Source organism: Homo sapiens, chromosome X, assembly GCF_000001405.40.
Source record: "Homo sapiens chromosome X, GRCh38.p14 Primary Assembly".
NCBI classification, from domain to species: Eukaryota; Metazoa; Chordata; class Mammalia; order Primates; family Hominidae; genus Homo; species Homo sapiens.
The window spans coordinates 9,837,077-9,862,747 of NC_000023.11; the positions used below are offsets into that span (position 1 = coordinate 9,837,077).

A 25,671-nucleotide genomic window follows, 5' to 3' on the forward strand; every position below is an offset into this window, starting at 1 on the left:
CCTTGGTGCAGACTGACCGCATGGTGCTGACCAGTGTGTCAGCTGATGCACGGTCTCATTGCTTTCCCGTGCCACCCTGACAAGAGTGGTTCCCACTTTTGTGGGCACACGGGAGGGGGTCTCGGCTCTGGAAGTGACCAGCTTTGTGGTTTGTGGGGAGGCTGGTCGCATAAGTCCTTAGAACATCAACTGTCACTTGGGAGCCGGGATTGTTAGCATAGGATTGTTCAAAAAATCTAATAAGCCAAATATTTTAAAAACGTGTTTCATGTTGCCTCTCTCTGACCTCAGGAAGTAAGTCACTGTCAATTATTGTCGTGTGAGCAAAAATCTCCAGCTTCCTTCAACTGACAGTTCAAGGGATAGAGGCTTCTAGAAGCATGTTCTCCATGTGGTTCTCCTGATGATGAAACGTGTGGTGTGCACATGTCCCATCCTGCCCTCCCGACAGGGCGGCATGCGGAAGGAACATAGGGGACCAGCCCTGTTTTGGTGGCGGGGAGGCTCACAGGAGAGTGGGCGCTGGGCTGTGCTCTGAGACCGTTCCTTGTCTTGCTTGGCTTTTTCTTTGGCCAAGTGGAGACAGCACCAGGTGGCCAGACTGTGTTGGGCCTGGTCGTGTGCTTGATCTGCTGTACTGGGGATGTCGCCTCATACCCCTGTGCCCAGCTCCTTGCGGCTGGGTGGGTCTCCTTCACCCTCCTGTCCTTGCTGGCTCAGTGTTTGTGTGCCTGGCCAATATAATGTGTGGCAGGTTCCTCACATCCTTCTTGGGCCAGGCGGGGTGCCTTCGCTAGGGCACTGCAGCCTCAGATGGTGGTAGCACCTGCCCCCATGTATGGATCAGGCCACTGGGGCATCGGGGTCACCATTAGTCAGCAGAACAGCTGGAATTGGGTGGTCCTGGACATTTCCTTGGGAAGCAAGAGCACTGAGTAAGCTGAAGACTTAAATCAGGAGTTTTTCTGTGTGTGTGTGTGGTTTTTTTTTTTTTTTTTTTTTGAGACAGAGTCTTGCTCTGTCACCCAGGCTGAAGTGCAGTGGCACGATCTCGGCTCACTGCAAGCTCCGTCTCCCGGGTTCACGCCATTCTTCTGCCTCAGCCTCCCGAGTTGCTGGGACTACAGGTGCCCGCCACCACGCCCGGCTAATTTTTTGTATTTTTAGTAGAGGCAGGGTTTCACCATGTTAGCCAGGATGGTCTCGATCTCCTGACCTCGTGATCCACCCGCTTCGGCCTCCCAAAGTGCTGGGATTACAGGCATGAGCCACCGCACCCGGCCTTAAATCAGGAGTTTTAAGGTCACGAGCTGGCTGGGATTGGGTTGTTGCCAACACCCACGGCAGCTAAAAACTGCTTAAGAAATGCCTGCTTGTGGGACTTGCAGGGAGCCTGGGAATTCACAACCCCTACCATATAGTAGATCAAGCCTTGACTACTAAGGAAGGAGGGGTTATGGTAATCTGCAGGAAAGTATCTCAGTAGTGACGAACTCATCATAGTATGTCGTATAGCCTTTGTTTCTTCTCAAAACTTTTACAGCAAGTTCAGGATGGCTTCATCCAGACACCCGAGTTAAGCAAGCAAGCAAGAAACAAAAAGCCTTAAATAAGAGAAGTTGAAGACAGTGTGCCCCTTCGTGCCTGAATTTGGCTAGGAAAACATTGGCATGGGAGCGCCACCAAGGGCTGGCACATTCTCTGGGCCACCTTCAGAGGTTTAACTTCTGTGTGAGAGAAACCATCCACTGGGATGCAGCTTTTACGCCACATACTGCCGGATTCCACGTACAGGGATTGTCCAAAAGAGGCAAATCCAGAGACGGAAAGGAGATTCGTGGTTGCCTGGGGCTGTGGTGGGAATGGCTTAAGGAATACAAAGGATCTTTTGGGGGTGATGGAAAGGGACTAAGATTGGACCCTTTCCTTCCCTGTCGCACGTGGAAGGAAATCAGAAACCAAGCAAGAGAGCTGGGGGTATGAAAGGAACTGTGTCATTTTCTTGACTGAAATTTCACCAGGTGGCACTGGGTGTTGAGATACATATCACTGAGCAATATCAGGTCACACAATACAGGAGTATTGTTTCTGTCACTTCCGAATTGGTGTGCTTGACCCCAACAGCTATTTTGTATGCATTATGTGGGCAAACCCAAGTGGGTATTGTTGGGTTTTCATAGCAACGAGGCAGCAGGGCAGAGACGCGTTTTTTTACCATCACCCTCTGTGGTGTGGGTGCATTATGTCTGAGCCATTGGTCATCTTTTCTTGTCACCCACATCTCCCTGGGTCTGGAATCTGACCAGAAAGGAAGCCGCATTTGCTCATCTGACAAGTCCTAAGGTCAGAGAGCTCCCGCCTCCATGAAACTATCACTGTGGGGCAGATGATGAGCAAACCACACACCCGAAACATCACACATGCGCCCCCTTGCCATCTTCTTTCTCCTGCCTGTGTCCCCAGCCCAAGCACGGAGCTGCTTTCTGTCCCTTTAGGTCACTGTACATTTTCTGGACTTGTATGTAGATGGAGTCCTGCAGCAGGTGCTCCCTTCCACCTGGCTCCTATCTCTTGGAATAACCATTCTGAGATGTGCCCGTGTTGTCAGATGGATCAAGAGCTCATTGCTTTGCATTGCTGAGTATTAGTGCAGTGTTGGGTAGCAAGTTACATGCTGGTGGCATTTTGTGTTAATATTAGAGGCTAGTTTTTAGAAAACCGTTGCAAGGAGAGCCCACAGGGAGAACAAAGAGAGTGTCCTGTGAAAGCTATCTCTTGACCCTGATGGAGAGAAGGGCGCTCCAGCCTGTGCAGATGTCTGTTTCCGGTGCCATCGAGCTCTAACTTCAACCTTGACTCTGCTTTCCGAGTTTGGGTAAGACTTGTTTCCTACTCTATTTGAGGTCATCGGAGACCATCACTTTATCATGGATGGGAAAAGTTTTCAGGTGATGAAGGGCTGTGCTGTTGATTTGGAAAGAGGACACAAGACTGGACACTTCCTTTCAGGGTACCATTTCTAGGCCCTCTTGATATTTTAATATGTTTTAAAAATTAAGAGAATGTCTGCATATGTACTAGAGGAAGTCCTGTTACACAGGAAATACTCTAAATTCAACTCACATGCAGTTGGTTCCCATTTTCAATTCTTGGGAATATGTTAGAAAACAAAAATTTTAACCTTGGAGTTAAAATCTGTTGCTATTTTCTTTTCTTTTTCTTTTTGGAGACAGGGTCTATGTCACTAGGCTGGAGTGCAGTGGCATGATCATGGCTCACCTCCTGGGATCAAGCAATTCTCCCACCTCAGCTCCCCAAGTAGCTGGGACTACAGGTGTGCGCCACCACACTGGCTAATTTTTTGTATTTTGTTGTCGAGACGGAGTTTCACCATGTTGCCCAGGCTGATCTTGAACTCTTGGAATCAGGCAATCCACCTGTCTCAGCCTCCGCAAGTGCTGGGATTACAGGCATGAGCTACCTTGCCTGGCCTGCTATTTTCACAGATGCTAAATGAAAACACTCAGAATTCTATGAAATCATTCAGACTATAAAATATTCTTTAGCAATTCAAGCTGCTGTTTATGAGGTGGGCTGTTTATAGTAGGGTAGATGCTTCTAATCTAATGTAGAATTGCAGCTGCAGCATAGAAAGGGAAGAAGAATTGAGAGTACACCAAGATGTTAAATGTTTGTCTTTTGGTTGTGGAATATGGGTGAGCTCCCCCCTCACTTCTTTATACTTTTATATAATATAGAACTCTTGGTTCTTCTGTAGTGAATATTTATTTTTAAGAAAGCAGATAAATGTTGCACATAACTTGCTTTGGAAAACTTTTCCCATTACGGTTACTTGAAGACTGAAAGATTTTTGTTGTTGTTGTTTTTGTTTTTTGAGAGGGAGTCTTGCTGTCATCACCCAGGCTGGGAGTGCAATGGCGCGATCTTGGCTCACTGCAACCTCCACGTCCTGGGTTCAAGCAATTCTCCTGCCTCAGCCTCCCAAGTAACTGGGATTACAGGCATCCGTCACCACGCCTGGTTAATTTTTGTATGTTTGGTAGAGATGGGGTTTCACTGTTTTGGCCAGGCTAGTCTCAAACTCCTGACCTCAGGTGATCCTTCCGCCTCGGCCTCCCAAAGTGCTGGGATTATAGGCATTAGCCACTGTGCCTGGCCATTTTTTTTTTCTATTTTTAAAATCCTTCATATCTTCCATGGCAGTAAATATGGTAAAATAATATGTATGTGAGGATTTTTATAATGCATAAAATATTGTAGAAGATAAGTTCTTGTACATGCTTTTGAATCGTTTCATTTGCCTTCTCTCTTTGGCTTACATAATAAATAATGAAAACTGCAGTTTCTGACTTGGGCCATCTAACATTCCTAGGAAGGGAAGGAGGAGGCAGGAGGGAGACACTGGAAGAGGTGGTAGAATCACAGTAGCTTTTGTTTTTGCTGCATGCCAGACACAAAATGCGAACTCACATTATCCAGGCTGATGAGTCCTGCAGGTCAGACCCCACAGCATAGGCAGGCAGTTATAGTTGGAGGCCTTCCCTCATTGCTAAGGGAGTTCCTTAGCAGACCAATTCGGAATGAGTTATGTGTAAAAATGAGCACAGAATGCTTAATGCAGTGGGCCACAGAATCACATCTGATGTTCAAACATTCTAATGAGGCTAGGTGTGATGGCTCATGCCTGGAATCCCAGCACTTTGGGAGGCCGAGGTGGGAGGATTGCTTGAACCCAGGAGTTCAAGACCAGCCTGGGCAACATAGGGAAACTGTCTCTCCAGAAAAATTTAAAAAGAAGCAAACAAAAAAATAATTAGCTAGGTGTGGTAGTACATGCCTGTAGTCCCAGCTACTGGGAGGCTGAGGTGGGAGGATCACTTGAGCCTGGGAGTTCCAGGCTGTAGTGAACTATGATGGCGCCACCACACTCCAGCCTGGGTGACAGAGTGAGACTTTGTTTCTAAAATAAAAACATCCTAATGATGTGTGGTGATGCTGTGTTGTATACTGTCTGCATGCTATAGTCATTTGGTAACCTAATTAAGATTTTAGGTTGTAAATTTTTCATTTATAACTTCCTGAGATTCATTTCTTTTAATACTCGTTAAGGCAACATAAATTTAGAGTTTGGATCATTTTCCTCTTAACTTGTTGTTTTACTTCACGATTGCTGCATTTAGAAAACTTTTAAAATTTTATTTAAAAAAATAGATAATCCCAAGGTGTTGATATTACAGGTGTGAGCCACTGTGTCTGGCCAGATTCATTTCACTTAAATCCCTGAAGATCCACATGGGATTCTGACAGATCGCTCTGAGACATCCTCCTGTTGTTTCCTTTTCACCACTGCAGGTCTCCACCTGCCCTGGTGTCCTTGGGAGGAAACCCACCGTGGTAGGGCACACAGCGGCTGACTTGTCCTGGTAAATCATAAGCATGGTGGGCTCCGCAGGTGCCTCCCTCCTTTCTGTCCTTGAGTCTGAAGCCAGCACCTTCTTTGATGACACAAACGTCTGTGGTTTAGGGTTTTCAAAGGAATTCCCCCTCTTCCTCTCCCACCACAAGAAAGGCTGCTGTGGGGAGCCGGTAGCTTGCAGGCTGGGTTGTCTGGTCGTTTGAATTCCACAAGAAAGCCAACCTAGCTGTCCTGGCTTGGGGCGAGGCGGGAGGGCAGGAGTCCTGGATCTGCCTGTGTCTGTCTGTCCCTGGCTGTCTGCCCCTCCCTCCTCCTTCCCTCCCCTCTTGCTTGGGGTTGGGTGGGGTCTGTCTTAGGGAGAGAAGGAGGGCAGGGAGGGAGAGAGCTGGAATTTGACCCCAGAGCTGTCTGCAGCTTCCCAGGAGCCCTTTTCAGACCCTGTCTGGCTCCTTAGAAAGGCTGTGTGGCTCCTGCGTGGCAGGGCCACCTCATTAAAAACACCGGCTCAGGGGAGGGTGCTGGTCACTCTTGGGGCCAACCAGGATGTTTGCATTTGTCCTATGCACACAGTACAAAGTTGTTGTTTTTTAAATACCATTTTAGAGGAGTTTTAGCTCTACAGAGAAATGCAGAGATAGTAAGGAGAATTCTCACCTCCCCCACACTGGGCTTCCCCCTATTGTTTTTTTTTTTTCTTCCAATTACCATATATCCCTGCCATCCCCTATTGTTAACATCTCACATCACCATGGTATATTTGTCCAAGCAATGAACCAATATTGCTACATTATTTGTTGTTAACTAAAGCCCAAACTTTGTTCCTATTTCCTTAGTTTCCCAGTTTCCCATTAATGTCCTTTTCTGTCCTGGGATTAACCACATGACTTTTTTTTTTTTTTAACTGAGACAAGGCCTCTCTCTGTTTCCCACGCTGGAGTGCAGTGGCGTGATCATAGCTCACTGTGGCCTCTGCCTTCCGGGTTCTAGGGATCCTCCAGCCTCAGCCTCCTGAGCAGCTGGGATTACAGGTCTGCACCACTACGCCCAGCTAATTGTTTTGTGTTTTTAGTGGAGTTGGGGTTTAACCATGTTGGCCAGGCTGGTCTCGAACTCCTGACCTCAAGTGATCCACCTGCGTCAGCCTCCCAAAGTGCTGGGATTACAGGCGTGAGCCACTGCGCCCGGCCCACATGACATTTAGTCTTCCTGTCACCTTAGGTTCTTCTTGACTGTGACAGTTTTTCAGACCTTCCTTGTTATTGATGACTCTGACCTTTTTGAGGAGTACTGGTCAGGAATTTTGTAGACTGTACCCCTCTTGGGATTCATCTGATGATTTTCTCATGGTAGAATGAGGTTATGGCTTTTTGCAAAGAAGACCACAGACCATTCTCATTACACACGATATGTTTTGTTTTTTAGTTTTGATTTTCTAACTTTTCTTAACTGTAGGAATTAATGAAGATTTTTCCACAATTCCTATGCTTTGGAAAATTTCCTTTGATGATGAAATTTCTTTAGGGAAAAAATTATTTTTCTTCTGAAAGTGTTTAGGCAGAGAAACTTTGTTACTGAAATATTAGTGATCAGAGCTGCTAAGTTATAGCAAATTTGTAGAGATAATTGTCCCAGACAGGAGGGTCTGCTGAGTATGTCCTGTGGATATGTTATTTATCTTATTCTGTGCTGTTGTGCACCCTAAAAATAAATATTTTAGGCTGGGCATGGTGGCTCATGCCTGTAATCCCAACACATTGAGAGGCCAAAGCTGGAGGATCTCTTGAGCCCTGGAATTCAAGACCAGCCCAGGCAACATAGTGAGACGGCATCTCTCCAAGAAATTTAAAAATTAGCCAGGCATGGTGGTGTGCATCTGTGATCCCCTGCTTGGGAGGCTGAGGCAGGAGGATCACTTGAGAGCTTGGGAGGTCGGGGCTGCAGTGAGCCATGATCACACCACTGCACTCCAGCCTGGTCCACAGAGCAAGACCCTGTCTCAAAAAAATAAAAAAATTAAGGCCGGATGCAGTGGCTCATGCCTGTAATCCCAGCACTTTGGGAGGCCAAGGTGGGCAGATCACCTGAGGTCAGGAGTTCGAGACCAGCCTGGACAACATGATAAAACCCTGTCTCTACTAAAATTATAAAAAAATTAGCTGGGTGTGGTGGCGGGTACCTGTAATCCCAGCTATTCGGGAGGCTGAGGAAGGAGAATGGCTTGAACCCGGGAGGCAAAGGTTGCAGCAAGCTGAGATCGTGCCATTGCACTCCAGCCTGGGCAACAAGAGCGAAACTCCATCTTAAAATAAATAAATAAATTAATTAATTAATTTAAAAAATGGTAGATTTCAAAATAGTGTTTGAAAGTTCTTGGCGAATTGGTGTGCTCCTGCGTTCCTCTCAACTCCCACTCTTGCTCAGTTGCCTACCATCACCTCCAATCTCCTGATGCTGGATTTGCAAGTTAAAGTATTTCTCTAGCGTGGGAGTTGGCAAGTGTCTTCTGTTAGGAGCCCGTAAATGTTTTCTGTTTGGGCCACTTGTTCTCTGTGGGACTCCTCAGGGTTGTTGCAGTAGCAGGAAGCAGCCACAGCCAGTGTATACATGAAGGTCGTGGCTGTGTTCCACTAAACCTTTATTCACCAAGCAGGTGGCAGGCCAGGTTTGGCCCAAAGGCTGTAGTTGGCCGACCCTTACTTTATTGCAGAAGTGTATACTGCCAGGACTTTTTTCTTGTTTTTGTTTTGCTTTGTTAGGGAGTCTGGCTCATTTGGCCCATGTTTATGGGGCACTGACTCTGTTGTTTAGCAAGCGCTGTGTTGCTAAAGAATGTTTTCGAGAGATTTAGACCCACCCAGTAAACCTGAACAAGAAGCCAGCCTGAGCAGTTAGCCGGGGTCACAGTTCTCCATAACTTCTCCCCCTGCTTCCTGCTGGAACAGCTCACTTTTGAAATGGCAGGGGAGTCATTCCAAGCTAGCATCTCCCATCCCACCTTGTCACCCACCCCCACCCACCTTTTTGTTTTTTCTGGAAAACAAATAAAGGCTTTTATTGTATCTACTTGGGCAGGATGAGGGGAGTGGTAGTTCCAGAGACAAAGGACTCAGAGCCAGGACCTGGCCCTCACCTCTGCGCACACCAGCCCACACTGGCTCCCGTCACCCTCCTTTCTGTCCGTCTCTGCTCCTCTCTGGTCTCACCCCGTCTGCTGCAGACAGTCCCTCTTCATGAGTTGAGAAACATAATTCCTGGCAGCTGCAGTGTCGCAACCCCTTCCTCTACATTTTGTGGAATGAACACAGCTATGTAACTCGCTACCCAGATCAAGAGATGGAACATTCCTATTTATGTTTTAGGAATGTTCTAGCTCCCCAGGGGTGCCCTTGAGCCTCCCCAACCCCCCAAATATAGGACTGTCTTGAATGTCCACACTATAGATGAGGTTAGCCTCTATTTGGCCTTTATATAAATAGCATCATCTAGTATGGACTCTTTTGTGTCTAGCTTTTTCAGTCAACATTACTTTTGTGAGATTCATTCATATTGTTTCTGGTGGCAGTTGTAGTTTATTCATTTTTGTTGCTGTGAACCTCAGTTTGTTTGGTTTTGGTTTTGGTTTTTGAGACAGGATCTCACTCTGTTGCCCAGGCTGGAGTACAGTGGTGCCATCAGGGCTCACCGTAGCCTCAAACTCCTGGGCTCAAGCCATCCTCCTGCCTCAGCCTCCTGAGTAGCTGGGACCACAGGTGCATGCCACCACGCACAGCTAATTCTTTTATTTATTATTATTATTTTTGAGACGGAGTCTCGCTCTGTCACCCAGGCTGGAGTGCAGTGGTGCAATCTCAGCTCACTGCAACCTCCGCCTCCCGGGTTCAAGTGATTCTGCTGCCTCAGCCTCCTGAGTAGCTGGGACTACAGGCACGTGCCACCACACCCAGATAATTTTTTTGTATTTTTAGTAGAGACGGCGTTTCACCGTGTTAGCCAGGATGGTCTCAATCTCCTGACCTCGTGATCCGCCTGCCTCAGCCTCTCAAACTGCTGGGATTACAGGCATGAGCCATCACACCCGGCCAATTATTTTATCTTTTATAGACATGGGGTCTTGATATGTTGCCCAGGCCGCTCTCGAACTCCTGACCTCAGGCATGAGCCACTGCCTCCAGTCTGTGTGTTTTTCTAAAGAATTCTTAGTGGCTAAGGAAGGTTAAGACCTTCCTATCGTCTCTTTCATCTTTCCCCAGAGATGAGCCATTTTGAACATGGATTTGGCATCTGTGCCGCCTCTGAGCCCATGCTTGGCTGATCTGTGGTTGGCGTCTGCCTTCCAGAGAATTCCTTGTTTTCCCACAGTCCCTTTGCAGCTGTTTCATGGAGCACGGGGACGCATGCTGGCTGCTGCCACCAGCTCTGATGGCTATGAAGGTTTGAGACGAGTCTCATAGGTGAAATCTGGGCTCTAAGACAGCCCACCTTTTGAAAGGACAATTCAGCCACCAGAATATCATCTTCGATCTGCTGGTTTTCTCATTTTGGTTTCCAAAAGCCTTTAGCCATTGTTATTATTCCGTGCTTGTCTTGGTGTTAGCTCAGTATCCATGAAACCCGACAAACCTCTTTCTAGAATGAGGCCGGCAAACCAGTCTCATAATGTTCAACCCCAGTGAAGAGGAACTAAACCTCAAAATTGTTGTACCACAAACTCTATTGGCCTTTTATTGGTGGGGATTTTGTTTTTATTACAAGAGGGGTGACTGCTACAGTGGCCTTTCCGGCACCAGGCCGTGCCTGACGGATGAGAATGCTGTGTCATAAACAGTCTTTTGCAATGACTAACCGTGCTGGGTTGGAATGCAGTGCACACCAAAGGAAGGTAGGACTTTTAGTGGTTGTCACAATAGCTGTGCGAATCCAAATATGGCTGGAAAATGTCAACATACTCTCCAGATTATCAGCTCCGACGAATGTAAGAGACATAGTGTTAGGGGGATGTCTGGATAAGTTGAACTCTAATCAGAGGGAAAAGGGGGTTGGAGGAATAATGAATGAGGGAAACACTTTTATTGGGAGAATAGCTTGCAAAACGGCCAGTTGCATAAAGTGTCCTGTCCTAAGAAGTCCTAGTGTAAGCCTCGGCCAGTCCTAAAATATGAATGAGACCTAGGACTTATTTTACGTATTGCTGTTATCCTTACTAGCACTTTTGGAGTCTGCATTCTGGTAATGCCTAAATGCTTGTGCTGAGTTACATGTGGAAACAGCTCTACACAACATTCCCTAGTCTCTTGGACACTTACAGTGTTGGCCAGTCCTTTTCTCGTGATTTTTTCCCTCTGATTTACTCGTGTTGTAACAAAGTTATCACTTTTTTATTGTTTCTCTTTGCTTTCATCCTTTGCATCTGTGGCTGCTCACTTGCTATGCCCAGGGAAGGGGAAGATGGAGAAATAGATTATGGATATGGCACTCCAGGGCCTGTTTACCAACAACCTGAAAAGCTTATATTCTCAGCAGGTCAATACTCCCCATGTCTGAGGGCGAATGTTGTGTGGATTAACAGGCAAAACATGTTGCATAGATTTGCAGATCCACGTTTACAGATTCCCCACTGTATACTGAGGCCATCGAGGAACCTGAATTTGTGTATCCCTTGTGGCTATTGATATGTTGCTGAAGTCAAGTCAGGTATGTATTGAAAAGCATGGCCGGGCGCGGTGGCTCACGCCTGTAATCCCAGCACTTTGGGAGGCCGAGGCGGGTGGATCATGAGGTCAGGAGATCGAGACCATCCTGGCTAACAAGGTGAAACCCCGTCTCTACTAAAAATACAAAAAATTAGCCGGGCGCGGTGGCGGGCGACTGTAGTCCCAGCTACTCGGGAGGCTGAGGCAGGAGAATGGCGTGAACCCGGGAAGCGGAGCTTGCAGTGAGCCGAGATTGCGCCACTGCAGTCCGCAGTCCGGCCTGGGCGACAGAGCGAGACTCCGTCTCAAAAAAAAAAAAAAAAAAAAAGAAAAGCATGTTCTAAGTATCTAAGTATTTAAGTTCTACATGTCTAGAGATAAAACTCTCTTTATACGGGGATGTGAGGAGAGGAACTAGGAGGAGACTTTATCATGTGCTGATTTATGCTCTGCCGGTAATGAGCCATGCAGCCCTAAGCATGTTACCTCATATCTCTGGGACGAATAAAGTGTCTGTCCTTTGGCCAATTTTTTAGCTTCCCGAATCAGTTTATCGACAAGATGGGGACATGCAGGTGTATCTGCCAGGGTTAGGGGAAGCTCTCAATAGTAACGTGTGCTGAGAACCAGCTGGTGCCCTGCGTGAGTGCAGCGCTCCGTGAAGAACATTGTGTTATGAACTCCTGGGATGCCTGGATTCCCTTCCATTCATCCACTTTGTTCACCTAAAGGGCCAGAGCAAACAACCGTCCACTCAGGTAAACATTCCCACCCCAGAGCGACCGTTTGCATCCTCCAGGAGTTAACAGTACAGCTGGACTCACCCGTGGGTCTCCTGGAAGGCACTGTGTCGGAAACCGAGCTTCTCTCCTGCTTCCCTTGCTGTGGCCTATCTGGGAATCTATAGTCTGGAGCATCCCAGGGCGGCCTCCTTTGGCAGATGGTGTAGGAGTGCTGCAAGCCCTCCTGGATGCACCCAAGGACCCAGGAAGATGGGAGCGTGGATCTCTGTGCCTCAGCACAGAGGCTGGGAGGAGAGACAGCAGGCGCCGGCTGGCAGGAGCAGTCCATGTGGGAGCTTCTGTGTACTCCCACCTCTGCTTCACCTCCTGTTGATCTCTCCTCCCTCTGCAGCACATTCTGCCCTCCTTCCCCAGACTCCTCCCCACAGTTCGCCCTGAAACAAACCTTTCCATGGGATTGATTTTAGAGGCTGCCCATGTGGGACCAGGGCTGCAGCTTCCCTATGGGGGTGCTGGTGGCCTTGTGGCACTTGCTAAGCTGGGCGGGCGTGGCTAGGAGTTTGAGCAGTAACCAAAGTTTCCTCTCTGCTGAGTGCTCCTGGGGTCCATCCCTCTGGGGTGATGGCAGGCAGCTTTACACGTCGCCTTAGAGCATGTCTTTATTTGCTCCTGGATCAAGAACCTTTTGCCATCAATGTAGGGCTGAGCACCCCCACCACCACACATGCCCTGTCCAGATATCTCGCTCTGGGGTAGAAGGAGGCAGTTGTGGGAAGAAGTTTCCTCATCACATTAGCTCTAGGTAATTTCAGAGAACTTTGCCAATCTCTTCCCTAGCTTGTAGGTACAATGAAGATAACACCAGCAGACAAGATAGGATACTCTTTCTTGAGTTTAAAAGGCATCAAAATAGTTGCATGCAATTTAGCAAGGAATGGATACATTAGATTGTATTTAAGAGAGTGCCTGTTGCTGTACAGTTTTTAACAACACGTTGAAGCAGAGCAGGTACCTCTCAGATACTGTTTTGGTGGGGAGGATTGGGGACAGTGGTTTCCTGCTGTCACACTGGGGAGAACTGAAGGAGAGAACACTGCTGCACCTGAGCGGAGACTGACACTTTTGAGGTGAGCACCCTGAACCTTGGGTGTGTATTGTCCCTCTCATACCTGCTGGGCATCTTGGGGCCAGGCTGGGCTGCGTGGCAGCTCTGTGGGATCATTCCCGTCTGCAGCACCCGGGGGCGCTGCTCATTGTGTAGACCAAAGGCCAGCCAGCGGAGATGCCCACTTGCTGACCTTCTTACATGCCTGCTTTTCTGCTACAAGCTGTCATTTTCTTTTATTGATTGGTTGGCTGTCATTTTCTTTTATTGATTAATTGGTTGGTTGGTTGACAGGCCACATCACTGCAGCTTTGGTATAGTCACTTCTCTAATCTTTCCAAAAAGTCGCTTCAGGTTATGAAGTGAGTTAGCGGCCTGCTCCCTGGTTGCTCCATGAGAGTTCGCCCTCTCCTCACAGTTGTACAGCGGGCCAGCATTGTTGTTTGGCTTCCTGGCTCATATGCCCCTTCTCTGTGGCACCCCATGTCCTTATGAAAATGACCTAAGCCAGGCGTGGTGGTGCACGCCTGTAATCCCAGCACTTTGGGAGGCCAAGGCGAGTGGATCTCTTGAGCTCAGGGAGTTCGTGACCACCCTGGGCAACATAGTGAGATCTCGTCTCTGCAAAAAATACAAAAATTAGCCAGGTGCGGTGGCACACAGCTGTAGTCCTAGCTACTCAGGAGGCTGAGGTGGGGGGATCACTTGAGCCCAGGAGGTCAGTGAGCCGAGATCGTGCCACTGCACTCCAGCCTGGGCTAGCGGATAAGACTCTGTGTCAAAAAAAAAAAAAAAAGAGAAAACAAACAGAAAAACTTGTACCCTGGTATTGATAAGTCTTAATGGGAGGGCCCCTGCCTCTCACCACAGCCTTCCGGAAGTCAGCCAGATCCCTTTGTTTCCAGCCCCTGGTAGACCAGCGTGGCCTTATGATCCCCTCTTTGTCAGTCTCATCTCTTCCTCTCTCTTTTTTTAGAGACAGAGTCTCACTCTGTCACCCAGACTGGAGTGCAGTGGCAGAAACACAGCTCACTGCAGCCTCCACCTCCTGGGCACAAGTGGTCCTCCCACCTCAGCCTTCTGTGTAGCTGGGACTGCAGGCACACTCCACCAAGCCTGGCTAACGCTTTTAATTTTTGTAGAGATCAGGTCTTGCTATGTGGCCCAGGCTGGTCTTGAACTCATGGCGTCAAGCAGTCCTCCTGCCTTGGCTTCTCTAAGTATTGGGATTATAGGTGTGAGCCACCATGCCTGGCCTCTTTTTTTATTTTGAGATCATTATAGCTTCAGGTGGCAATACAGAGAGATGCCATGGGTCCTGTACCCAGGTTCCCCACGTGGCAACAGTACCTTTTTTGTAATATGATGGTAACAATGTTTCAACCAGGATATTGCTTTTTTTTTTTTCTTTTTTTTTTGGATAGAGTCTCATTCTGTCATCTAGGCTGGAGTGCAATGGCGTGATCACGGCTGACTGCAGCCTCAACCTCAGCCTCCTGGGCCCAAGCAATCCTCCTACCTCAGCCTCCTGTGTAGCTGGGACCACAGGTGTGCGCCACCACACCTGACAAATTTTTGTATTTTTTTTTTTTTTTGTAGAGATGGGGTGTTGCTGTGTTGCCCAGGCTGGTCTCAAATTCCTGGTCTCCAGTGGTCCTTCTGCCTTGGCCTCCCAAACTGCTGGGATTTTACAGGTGTGATATTGACATAGAGACCGTCAAGACACAAGACATTTCCATCCCAAGAGGTTCCCTCACATTGCCCCTTTTAACTTCTCTCTTGCTATAAAGATATCAAGTTCAAAACTTTATTATATAGTAAAACTCTGTTAATCAATTGTTGACCGTTTAAACTGGAATTTAACTGAGAGCCAAGGATCTTCCCCAGGTGACTGAAGTCTGATGTATCCCTTCAACTTCTAGTTTTGAATTAACAGGAGTTCAGTGTATTTGGAGAGAGGCCTGTCACTCCCTTGTTCTGTTCCTTTAAAGAGTTATGGTCCAGTAGAGAGGGCACGCTCGTTAAAAGCAGTCTCTCGTGAAGTGGATCAAGATGTGTTGGAATGTAAGGCATGACTGCTAGCTGCTGAGCAATTCACATACTTTGGAGGAGGTTAGTGCCCATGAAAAGGTAGATGCGGTAATCAGAAAAAACTCCAGGCTACCTCCGGGCAACATATTTGGCTAATGCTTTGATTAATTGAAACATTTAATTAACTAGATTTTTTCCCCATGCTTTGCTTTTAGGAAGGATCCTTCACTTTCTGCCTTGGCAGGGGAGTGGGGACCAAAGATATTACCCTCTGATTCCCAGACCACCTGCAGGCGTTTTCCAGCTGGGATTAGTCTAGCTCCTTGCTGGCTTTTCATGGCACCTGAAGCTTAGTTCTTATTGCCATCACCTTGAAGGTCTGCTCCGAGCTGGGTCTACCAAAGGCTTTCTCTTTCTGTTATGCCTGGTCTCCAGTGGTCCTTCTGCCTTGGCCTCCCAAAGTGCTGGGATTTTACAGGTGTGATATTGACATAGAGACCGTCAAGACGCAAGACATTTCCATCCCAAGAGGTTCCCTCACATCGCCCACTTTCCCCCTGGGATACCCAGTGCACCTTATTGGTGCAAAAATTTGTATGAATTGCAATTTTAAAGACAGTCGAATTTGACCTGCAATAAAAATGATGATTGTAATTTGTCATGGCAGAATTGTAAAGCTAGAAAAGATCTTTAGGATTGAACTGATCATTTTATGGATAAGGAAACTGAGGCCCAGAAAAGGTCATTGGTTTGCTTCTAATGTGTGTTTCTATCTCTGGGGAGAGCTGGAAACATACCCTCTTTAGCCAGTGGTGCCCAGCCCACTCAAGTTGTTAACAATGGATGGATGTAGACCTACTATGTGCCTCACTCTGCATTCTCCGGTATGCAGTGGAACCAATCTAGAAAAGCCGGCATCTTTACAGCCTTGAGAGTGTGCTTCTCAGTGGGATTGTGGATGGTTTCCTCTTTAATAGGAAAGCCTGTTTTTATATAGATGTATTTCTTGGGTGCTGACAGACCCAGCACCACCAGCTCCTAAGCGAGCCCCAGTGTTTTCTGCTGGGGACAGGATCCAGAAGCATCCCGTGGAGGGGTTGGGTACCCCAGATCCACCTGCCAGGACTCCGGGAGAGGCGTGTGTGAGCAGCCAGTGAGCCCCCAGCTGTGGAGGACTGAGGCTTCCTGATCTCCTTCTGGAACATTCAGTGGCCACACCAGCAGTTCTTTGTGCTCACTTACTAGCCCATTTCTTGTAGCAAATGGAGGCTACATCTGTTTCGTAGGGCTGTCATAACAAAGTACCTAGCACAAAGCTTAAAGCAACAGGAATGTGTTGTCTCATAGTAAAGAGGCCTGGAGGCCAGAAGTCTGCAATCAGGGTGTCTGCAGAGCCTCTTTCTGAAGGCTCTGGGGGAAGAGCCTTCCTTGTTTTTCCTGCTTCTGTGACTCCAGGCATTCCCTGACTTGCAGATGCATCATGCCAATCTCTGCTTCCGTCTCCACATAGTTCTCCCCTGTTTATCTGTGTCCAAATTTCCCTCATCTGTTGTGGACACCGTTATTGGATTAGGGCCCTCCCTAATTCAGGATGACATCGTCATCACCAGTTACACCTCCAATGATCCTATTTCCAAATAAGGCCACATGTACAGGTTCCAGAGGTGAGGCTTCAACATATCTTTTTGGGAGACATAATTCAGCCCCATAACAAAGGGTAATAAAATGTTTTGAGAGAGAATCTAGGTACAGAAAAGTGCTCACATGGTAGCATAGACATTGATGAATTTTCACACAGCAAATCATACTTGTGACCCCACCCAGATGAAGGAATAGAAGAGACAGTCTTAGAAAATAGATACCAAATTCCATGCCTTATGGAGAAAGCCAAGGCTCGTTAGTCTGGTTTGTGCTTTTAGGGTTAAATCAGGTACGTTGTTGACACTTCAGACCAGGTACACGTAGGGATGTGGGTATTATGCTGCAAATCACAAAGGACAGTTTCACTTTTTAACCCCAGTGGCTTCCTGAGAACTCTATTGTAAAGCGTACTGTTATAAACTAAATTGCATTTTGAATAGGAATAATTAGATTTAAGTTAGAGATTCTGCCAAAAATTGCTTTATCAGATCGGACGTGAGCAGTTACATCATAAAAAGAAGAAATGCCACTCAAACCTGTGATTGCCAGTTTAGGAGAGGCTTTGCCTCTTGGGCCATTGCTTCATGTTCCCATTTTGGGTGCCTTGTCTATAAAGGGGAGGAAGGGGTGTCGGGATGGCTCTCTGGGTTGGATAGCGGGAGGAGACTGCAGCCCACATCTGGTTCCAGCCTCTTGTCACACAGTTGAGGGAGTGGAGCCCAGCTGAGATTGACCTGCTGAAGGCACCTGGATGGGGGTCATAGTTGCCATCCCTTTATTTTGCATTTTCTCGTGTTTTAAAGCTTTGGTGCCCACCGATTCCAGCCCTGCTGTTCTTGTGAAAGTCGCATACACAGAGTGACTGTCACAGCAACTCATTACTCTTCACGGTCCTGAGTTTGCTTTTCTGTAAAATTGAGAAAGAAATAATTGCCTGACCTCTCATCCCACGATTGTTTTTAAGAGTGGGAATCACAGCTTGGGGGGCAGGGAGTTGAGAGCTTCTGCTGTAGTGGTGTGAGCAACACAGGATGGCCATATTTAAATTGGGATTGTACTGTGGAGAGTTATATTAAATTCATAAGGTCAGGAGAAACAGAAACACGGGAGTTGGGCCTTATTGCAGACTCCTCCTCGGTGATTTTATTTGGAGTAAACGGCACACGTAATCTTAGCATGTCTCATGTCAAAATCACTTCAAAGAATGCCACGGGTGAGTCTGCGGCAGATGTTCAGGGCATCTTTTTAAAGGAGAACCAAAAAATTAAAATTTATTTCCTTTTTAATTGTGGCTGTTTTAAACTTTGTTACTTTAAAAATTACATATGTGTAAGTGGTCCACTCTTTTTAAAAAAAAAAAAAAAGGCATCCTCATTGTTCAACTCCTGGACACAGGGAGGGAAACATCACACACCAGGGCCTGTCGGGGAGTTGGGGGTAGAGGGATAACATTAGGAGAAATACCTAATGTAGGTGACGGGTTGATGGGTGCAGCAAAGCACCATGGCACGTGTATACCTATGTAACAAACCTGCACGTTCTGCACATGTATCCCAGAACTTAAAGTATAGTAAAAAAAAAAAAAAAAAAAAAAAAAAGGCATCCTATCATATCTTGGCACCCTCGATGTCAAAATGTGGTAAAAAGGACCTTTGCCCATTGTGTTATGCATTTTAGCTCTGTTCAGAATCTGTCACTGTTACCTACGCTTATTTTGTTTTTAGAATTTGGGGGCAGAAATTTTTTTTATCTGTCATGGAAAATAGCTGATGCCCCAATTTTTGAACTCGATAAAAATCCCAACTATTCCCATATTAATCCAGATAGATAGATAGATAGATAGATATTGCATCAGATTTTGTCCCTAAAAGGACTGAGTACAGTACAGGATGTGGAGTGAAACAAGGCTGCTACGGTTTCAGAAACAGCTTTGGAGCTGAGACTTTGCCAAGGAAAGTGGGAACTGCTCTGCGCCAGGAAGAAGCGATGAACCCATCCTTGACTTGTACGACCATCGGGTGTGTCAGCCGCCTTGTCGCTGTGCTCTGCAAACTCTTGCCCACCACGAACTAGGCACACGCTTAACTCAGTGTTGTGGCAGATGGATGACTAATTCGGGTTTTAACTTGGAAAAGCAGAGGTGGGCAGATTCCACCATCCTGGCAGAAGGTTGCATACCCGCCAAAGCGCACTAAAAATCTTCCTAAGTTACTCGGCTTTAGCTGAGGCTGAGTGCTGCTGTCTCAGAAGAATTAATTACTTTGAATGGGAGTCATTTTTTAAAGACTTAAGAATGTTTCCTTTTTTTTTTTTTTTTTTTTAAAGCAAAACCGAATGAACTTGGGGGAAATAAATGCTTTGCCTTTGAGAGTTGTCTGCTGGAAAAAGTCAACAAAGGGCTTCTGGGTTTTGTTCAGTGGTGTCTTGATTAGAGTGGCATAAATCTTAAGTACTTTCAGAGGAGGCTTACAAATTAGAGAATAGTTTGGCTGTTTTGGTTTGATTCTAACAAGAGTTCAGCATGGAGAAATAATACCACTGATGAGATGAGGAATGTGTTTAGCATAATAAAAAAACTACCTCCGTGTAGCCCCATTTTTCGGGCAGATGCAATTTGTGTCTTAAAGAAAAACATAAAAACAGCCAGACATTATCATTTTTCTTTGCTTGTTCCTCAGACGCATTAATAGATTATACCCCTCAATCTATTGGGATTGAGATGTTTTATATTTTAATTACACAAGTGAACAAAGTTTTGCTGTTTAGAACTATTCTGTTGAGTGTTGGTTTTTAAGTTATAAACATTAAAGGAAAAATCATCTGGACTTATATAATGATGAGTCTTGAGAAATGTCAGTGTTTTCTGGGAAGAGTTGTTCCATTCTTCTAACTGCCTCACTGGGGATCCTGGACTGGAGCGTTTGCCCCTGGGATGCAGCGCCGGGGCACCCCTACTTCTGGGCAAGAGGCTGTGCTGTTCCTGGCCTCCGTGACTCTTCAGGCCTTTCTCTCCCAGTTGCATGGTAGCTGCTGCATCCCCACGCATCCTGTCTTTGTTTAAGACCAGAAGAAAAGGGAAAGGGTGGTACCAGACATTTCTGCCCCTTTGATTGCAGAGACAAAGGCTCTCCTCAAGCCTGCAGCTGACTTCTGCCTTTCCCCCATCCGCTGGGACCGCACATGCCACCCTGCGCTGCAAGGGGGCACGAGGCTGCTCCAGTCTCCATGGTGGATTCAGATATTAAGGAGGGCAGGGCTGATGGCTGCCAGGGATCCTCTGATATTAGTAATGGGGGAGAGAGGAGGACGTCAGTTCCAAAAGGTGCGGTCTTCCTGGAGAACGTGGGACTTGAATGAAGCCCTGATAGAGAAGTCAAATTTGAAGAGGCAGAAAGAGGACACGAAGGTGACATGCTAATGAAGTCTAGGATGAAGAGAAACAGTGAGGGAACGTTGAGAACACCACCTTGGTGTGTAGGGATCCTGCATGACACTGTGGATTCTAACACAAAAATAATGCGGAAGGAATTGATGTTTATACAGAGTGGGGTGTGAGTTTCCTGCACCAGAGCATGCCAGTTGGTGGTTACACGTTTGACCCTTGGACATGATTTTAGGGGGAGTGGGGATGGCCTCACCTAGTTTTATTTTTTAATTAAGAATTTTTTTTTTTTTCAGAGACATGGAATCTTGCTCTGTCGCCCTGGCTGGAGTGCAGAGTGGTGCAGTCACGGCTCACTACATCCTCAAACTCCTGGTCTTAAGTGATCCTCCTGCCTCAGCCTCCAGAGTAGCTGGAACTACAGGCACACACCACCACACCCTGCTAATGTTTAAAATTTTTTTGTAGAGATAGGGCCTCACCATGTTGCCCAGGCTGGTCTCGAACTCCTGGCCTCAAGTGATCCTCCTGCCTTGGCCTCCCAAAGTGCTGGGATTATAGGTGTGAGTCACTGTGTCCACCGTGCTTTCACTTAGTTTTAAAAGCAAAAAGATTGTGAACATTTGCAGACACAGGGAGATTACCCACCCCGCCCCCGAAATTCCAGATTTTCAGCTGCATTAAACACATTGCAAAATTCGTGCATCCTGGCTGCTCATTTCCCCATGAGCAGTCACTACCCCCGACACTGGGTAGTGGCTGCTCCTTCAGAAGGAAGGACCCTGTCCCTTCACCACAATGCCCAGTGCTCGAGGCTGTAGACCCCATCCTGAGGGTGTGTGTTCTATACATGCAGCCCCTCCACTTGCAGCGGCCCCTCCCAGCCTCTGCGAGCGCTGGCGTGTGCACTCCAGGGCTTTATGTTTTCCCCGTGTTGCCTTCTTAGGCTCTGCTGCCTAGGCTGTGACAAAGGCATCCCTGAAGAGAGTTGTTCAAAAAAGAAAGATAGCCCTTGTGACGGGTGAGATCATCCATATGTTACCCAATAAAAAGTCAAAGGCTTGAGGGGCCCTTTGAGTTCACTCCAGAGAAAGGTGCAGCAGCCTCGGCTCAGTGCCCCCTAGGCCTCCCTGACGTTGCACGGCGGCAGCATTAGATTATCTCACTGAACAAGGCCCGTCCCTTTGAAATAGCAGTAGGATGGGAATGTCCATTAAAGTAAACAGCTGTGCGTTCTGAGAAGCGGGGACACTTTGTTCTAATGGCCAGCAGTTCCTTTTCCTGTTTCTTGGTTGCCTATCAGTTCTTTCAGATCGCCTTTTCACTTTGAAAATGCAAAATTAAGTAATCCCAGTTATCTCTGTTTAAGCGGGTGCTTCAGTGATGTGATGACTTGCTTTCAAAAGCTCAGTGAGGCCGCGCACGGTGGCTCATGCCTGTAATCCCAGCACTTTGGGAGGCCAAGGCAGGTGGATCACCTGAGGTCAAGAGTTCGAGACCAGCTTGGCCAACATGGTGAAACCCCGTGTCTACTAAAAATACAAAAACAATTAGCCGGGTGTGGTGGTGGGCACCTGTAGTCCCAGCTACTTGGGAGGCTGAGGCAGAAAAATCGCTTGAACCCAGGAGGCGGAGGTTGCAGTGAGCTGAGACCGCGCCACTGCACTCCAGCCTGGGTGACAAGAGCAATACTCTGTCTCAAAAACAGATAAAAAAGCTGAGTGAGAAGGGGTGAGGATCTGGGCAGGTCTGCGTTCTGTGTTGGCTGGAAGCCTGCTGGCGGTGCTTTGACTAAACAATTCTTGATACTTCTAAGATGGACTTGAGGCCGGGCGCGGTGGCTCATGCCTATAATCCCAGCATTTTGGCAGGCTGAGGTGGGTGGATCACCTGAGGTCGGGAGTTCAAGACCAGCCTGGCCAACATGGTGAAACCTTGTCTCTACTGAAAATACAAAGATTAGCTGGGCGTGGTGGCAAGCATCTGTAATCTCAGCTACTCGGGAGGCTGAGGCAGGGAGAATTGCTTGAACCTGGGAGGTGGAGGTTGCAGTGAGCTGAGATTGCGCCACTGTACTCCAGCCTGAGCAACAGAGCGAGACTCCATTGATGGACTTGAAAGACCAGGAATATGGTACAGGTTTTGTTTTTTCCTCCTGTAGTGCTAAGATGAAAGCAGGGCTTTAGACAACGTCGCTTATGTTCGATGATTCTTTTTCTCTCTGTTCATCCTCTCCAGAAACATTGCCTATTGCATTGCGACCAGCTTTTGTATAGGAAGGGAAGAAACAGATATCATTTGGGTTTTGTCATCAGTGAGATGCTAGTCTTGTTGTGGGATGAGAAGCATAAGCTGGTAACTGTCAGCAGGGTTAGGAGCAGATAGTGGCCATGTGCTCCAGGCACTAGGGAGGCTGGGAGATGTACAGAGTCCCTTGGTGGAGACGGTGGGGTTCAAGATGGCGTCCTGAGGGCTGAATGTGGGCGAGCTGGGCAGAGTGTGTGCACAGCAGCGATGGGGGTGCATGGTGTTTCCAGAGGGGACCCAGTAAACAAAGCTCTGCAGGCAAGAAAGACCACTTTCTCTAGGGAGGAAGGACAAAGGGCCTGTTGTTGCGGGTGTGTGATGTTTGGGCAGGGTGGGGATGGTGTCCAGAACAGCAAGGCTTGTTTTACATGGTGGTGAGTAGGACTTGATTAAATGCAGTGCCTCCCTCCCTCCCCCTCACCTGATCAAACTGCTCTTTTGCGTTGCTGCTAGAGGCGAGAGAGAAGATGATTTGCGTGAGGAAGACGGCTGCCTGTTTCCTGCCGTGGTAAATGGATTTTACAGGGCAGGAGGTTAAAGCGTGACTTTAGAGGTGCCTTGGTTTTGTTTTACTGTTCCACATGAGCCATGGGTGACCATTTCTAATACGTTATCCTTTCTCTGGAATATTGGTGGTTCTCCCCTGGGGGCAGTTTTGTCCTCCAGGAGACATGTGGTAACATCTGGAAGCATTTGAATTGGTCACAACTCGGGGCAGGAGGGTGCTACTGGCTTCTAGTGGGTAGAGGCCAGGGATGCTGCTGAGTCCCCTGCAATACCCAGGGCAGCCCTCACGGCAAAGAATGATCCGGCCCCAAATGTCAATAGTGCTGAGGTGGAGGAGCGTGGTTTGGAGTGTCCTATTGTTTATCCATGTTTTATCTATTGGACATTTGGGTAAAATAACCCATTTGTAGCTCTTACAGATGGTCCTGGTATGCACATTCTTCTGTGGGTCTTGTGGTTAACATACATGCACATCACTGAGTCACTTGGTCTGTTTTCCCAGTCATGTCAATATTTTTTTTTGAGACAGGGTCTCACTCTGTCACCCAGGCTGCAGTGCAGTGGCGTGATTTTGGCTCACTGCAACCTCCACCTCCTGGGTTCAAGCGATTCTCTTGCCTTAGCCTCCTGAGTAGCTGGGATTATAGGCATGTGCCACCATGCCTGGCTAATTTTTGTATTTTTAGTAGAGATGGGGTTTCACCATGTTGCCCAAGCTGGTCTTGAACTCCTGACCTCAAGTGATCCGCCCACCTTGGCCTCCCAAAGTGCTGGGATTACAGACATGAGCCACCGTGTCTGGCCACTCATATCAATTTTGGTATTCACCCCGTATTCAGGAGTTGAAGGTGTAGGAAGCAGCGCAAATGGACATTGACAGACGAGTGGATAAAGAGAATGGAGAGTGTACATACAGTGGAATATTGCTCAGCCTCAAAATGGAAGGAAATCCTGTTACCTGTAACCACATGGATGAACCTTGAGTCCATGATGTTAGCTGAAATAAGCCAGTCCTACAAGGGCAGATACTGTATGATTCTACCTATGTGACATATCTGGAATAGTCAAGTTCACAGAGGCAGGAATAAAATGCAGGTTGCCAGAGGCAATGGGGGATTGTTCATTGGGTACTGTTGTGGTTTTGCAAGTTCTAGAGATCTCTTACACAACAATGCGATTATAGTTAATGCTACTGAACTCCATGCAATTAAAATGGTTAAGAGAACACATTTGATATTATGTTTTTGTTGATGCTGTTGTTGTTAGAGATAGGGTCTCTCTCTGTCCCCCAGGCTGGAGTGCAGTTGTACGATTATAACTCACGGTAGCCTTGAACTCCTGGGCTGAAGTGGTCCTCCTGCCTCAGCCTCCCAGGTAGCTGAGATTACAGGCATGTGCCACTGTGCCTGACTAACTTTAAAAACAAAATCATAGAAACTTGGTTTCATTGTGTTGCCCGGGCTGGTCTCAAAACTCCTAGTCTCAAGTGATCCTCCTCCATTGGCCTCCCAAAGCACTGGGATTACAGATGTGAGCCACCATGCCCGGCATATATAATGTGTTTTTTAATACCACTTAAGCTCTGATTTCCTCGTGTTATGATGAAAACGGATACTTTGTCACTGTCCCTGAGAGTGGAGCAGCATAGCCTAGGTTCCACTGGCAGTTTGGACATGAAGAAATTATAACAACAGCAGAATAAGTTGTAACTGTACTTGTAGCATACTTTAGAGTTTGCAACATATTTTCATAATTGTTTCACTGTTATCCTCCTGGTCGTCCTAGGATGTAAGACAACCAGCTCTTACCACCATTTTTGGGGTGATAAAACCAAGAGTAGGAAGCATTTCTCCAAATTGTGTACGTAAGTGGCAGAGGCAGGTCTTCAGTACCAGATCATTCCTCATCTTTTGAAACGCTCCGTGCCCCCACCCTCTGATGTGATTATTCCCTCCTGTCTGCCACCAGGGGATCCTGTGCATGTCTGTCACTGCACTTGCCTCATGGGATTTGTATCAGCCAGGATCTAGTTAGGAGACGGAAGCCACACAGTAGTTGGAACAGGAGTGCTTCATAGGAAGCGGGATTTCGTGGACTGACCAAATCCCACCATGCCCCCGTGCTTACGGCTTTTCTGTTTACAGAAGCAAGGTTGAACAGTTGCACAGAGATCGTGTACATGCAAAGCTCAAAATATTTACATTACGGCTCTTTGTGAAAAAGTTTGCTCACCCCTAATGTAAAGAACTATTAACTTGTGGCAGTTTATTATCTATTATCGACGAATTATTAACTAGTAGCTACTATAGGTAAGGAGAACTCTAAAGAATACGAGAATAGCAGATAGAGGGAGTGGCCACTCCCTCCAGGGCTGGGGCACAGAGTACCTGAGGAAGGAATAAATTTGGAACTATTCTCCCCACCCCCTCCAAAGCTGAGATTCGAATCTCGATGGAAGATGGCTCACTAGGTAGTGGAGAAAGTCGCTGAGGGCCACCGCTGGCTGGAGAGTAGGGAGCCACCCCCGGCATGCCACTGAAGCTCACTAGGAAGCTGGCTGGGGGTGTCTGTGGGACTCGGTGGAAAGCCACCGAGGAATTGTCTCTAAAAGTCGCTGGGAAGCTGCCCGCCAGAGCACCAGTGGAACTTGCTAGGAGGCCGCCCTTGGAGCTTAGTGCCACTGTGTGTGCCACATGACTGCCAGGTCCCACTGGAGCAGGCAGGGAGGAAAGCACGCTGGAATGATGAAGGCAAGCCCTTTCCACCGCCCGCGTGCCTCCACCGCCCTCTGCTGATGGTGCTCACCAGGTGCCAGCACTGGAGAAACG

At 47.4% G+C, this 25,671-nt stretch overlaps 1 protein-coding gene across 2 annotated transcripts in view, besides 5 other annotated features; it reads left to right on the plus strand.

Annotated features, from left to right (window-relative positions):
- Positions 1-25,671, plus strand: part of SHROOM2 (shroom family member 2) — a 163,015-nt gene that overhangs the window by 50,648 nt on the left and 86,696 nt on the right. The gene's annotated exons all lie outside the window — the stretch shown is intronic.
- Positions 5,553-5,847: an enhancer, noted in NCBI's record as "tiled region #9039; K562 Activating non-DNase unmatched - State 22:ReprW". NCBI's record gives its function as "activates a minimal TATA promoter and a strong SV40 promoter by Sharpr-MPRA in K562 cells {active_cell/tissue: K562}" and the evidence as "EXISTENCE:reporter gene assay evidence [ECO:0000049][PMID:27701403]".
- Positions 6,007-7,001: an enhancer, noted in NCBI's record as "H3K27ac-H3K4me1 hESC enhancer chrX:9811123-9812117 (GRCh37/hg19 assembly coordinates)". NCBI's record gives its function as "activates a minimal SCP1, AML or CMV promoter by ChIP-STARR-seq in primed H9 embryonic stem cells {active_cell/tissue: H9 hESC(primed)}" and the evidence as "EXISTENCE:reporter gene assay evidence [ECO:0000049][PMID:30033119]".
- Positions 19,725-20,225: an enhancer, noted in NCBI's record as "H3K4me1 hESC enhancer chrX:9824841-9825341 (GRCh37/hg19 assembly coordinates)". NCBI's record gives its function as "activates a minimal SCP1, AML or CMV promoter by ChIP-STARR-seq in primed H9 embryonic stem cells {active_cell/tissue: H9 hESC(primed)}" and the evidence as "EXISTENCE:reporter gene assay evidence [ECO:0000049][PMID:30033119]".
- Positions 22,834-23,334: an enhancer, noted in NCBI's record as "H3K4me1 hESC enhancer chrX:9827950-9828450 (GRCh37/hg19 assembly coordinates)". NCBI's record gives its function as "activates a minimal SCP1, AML or CMV promoter by ChIP-STARR-seq in primed H9 embryonic stem cells {active_cell/tissue: H9 hESC(primed)}" and the evidence as "EXISTENCE:reporter gene assay evidence [ECO:0000049][PMID:30033119]".
- Positions 23,335-23,835: an enhancer, noted in NCBI's record as "H3K4me1 hESC enhancer chrX:9828451-9828951 (GRCh37/hg19 assembly coordinates)". NCBI's record gives its function as "activates a minimal SCP1, AML or CMV promoter by ChIP-STARR-seq in primed H9 embryonic stem cells {active_cell/tissue: H9 hESC(primed)}" and the evidence as "EXISTENCE:reporter gene assay evidence [ECO:0000049][PMID:30033119]".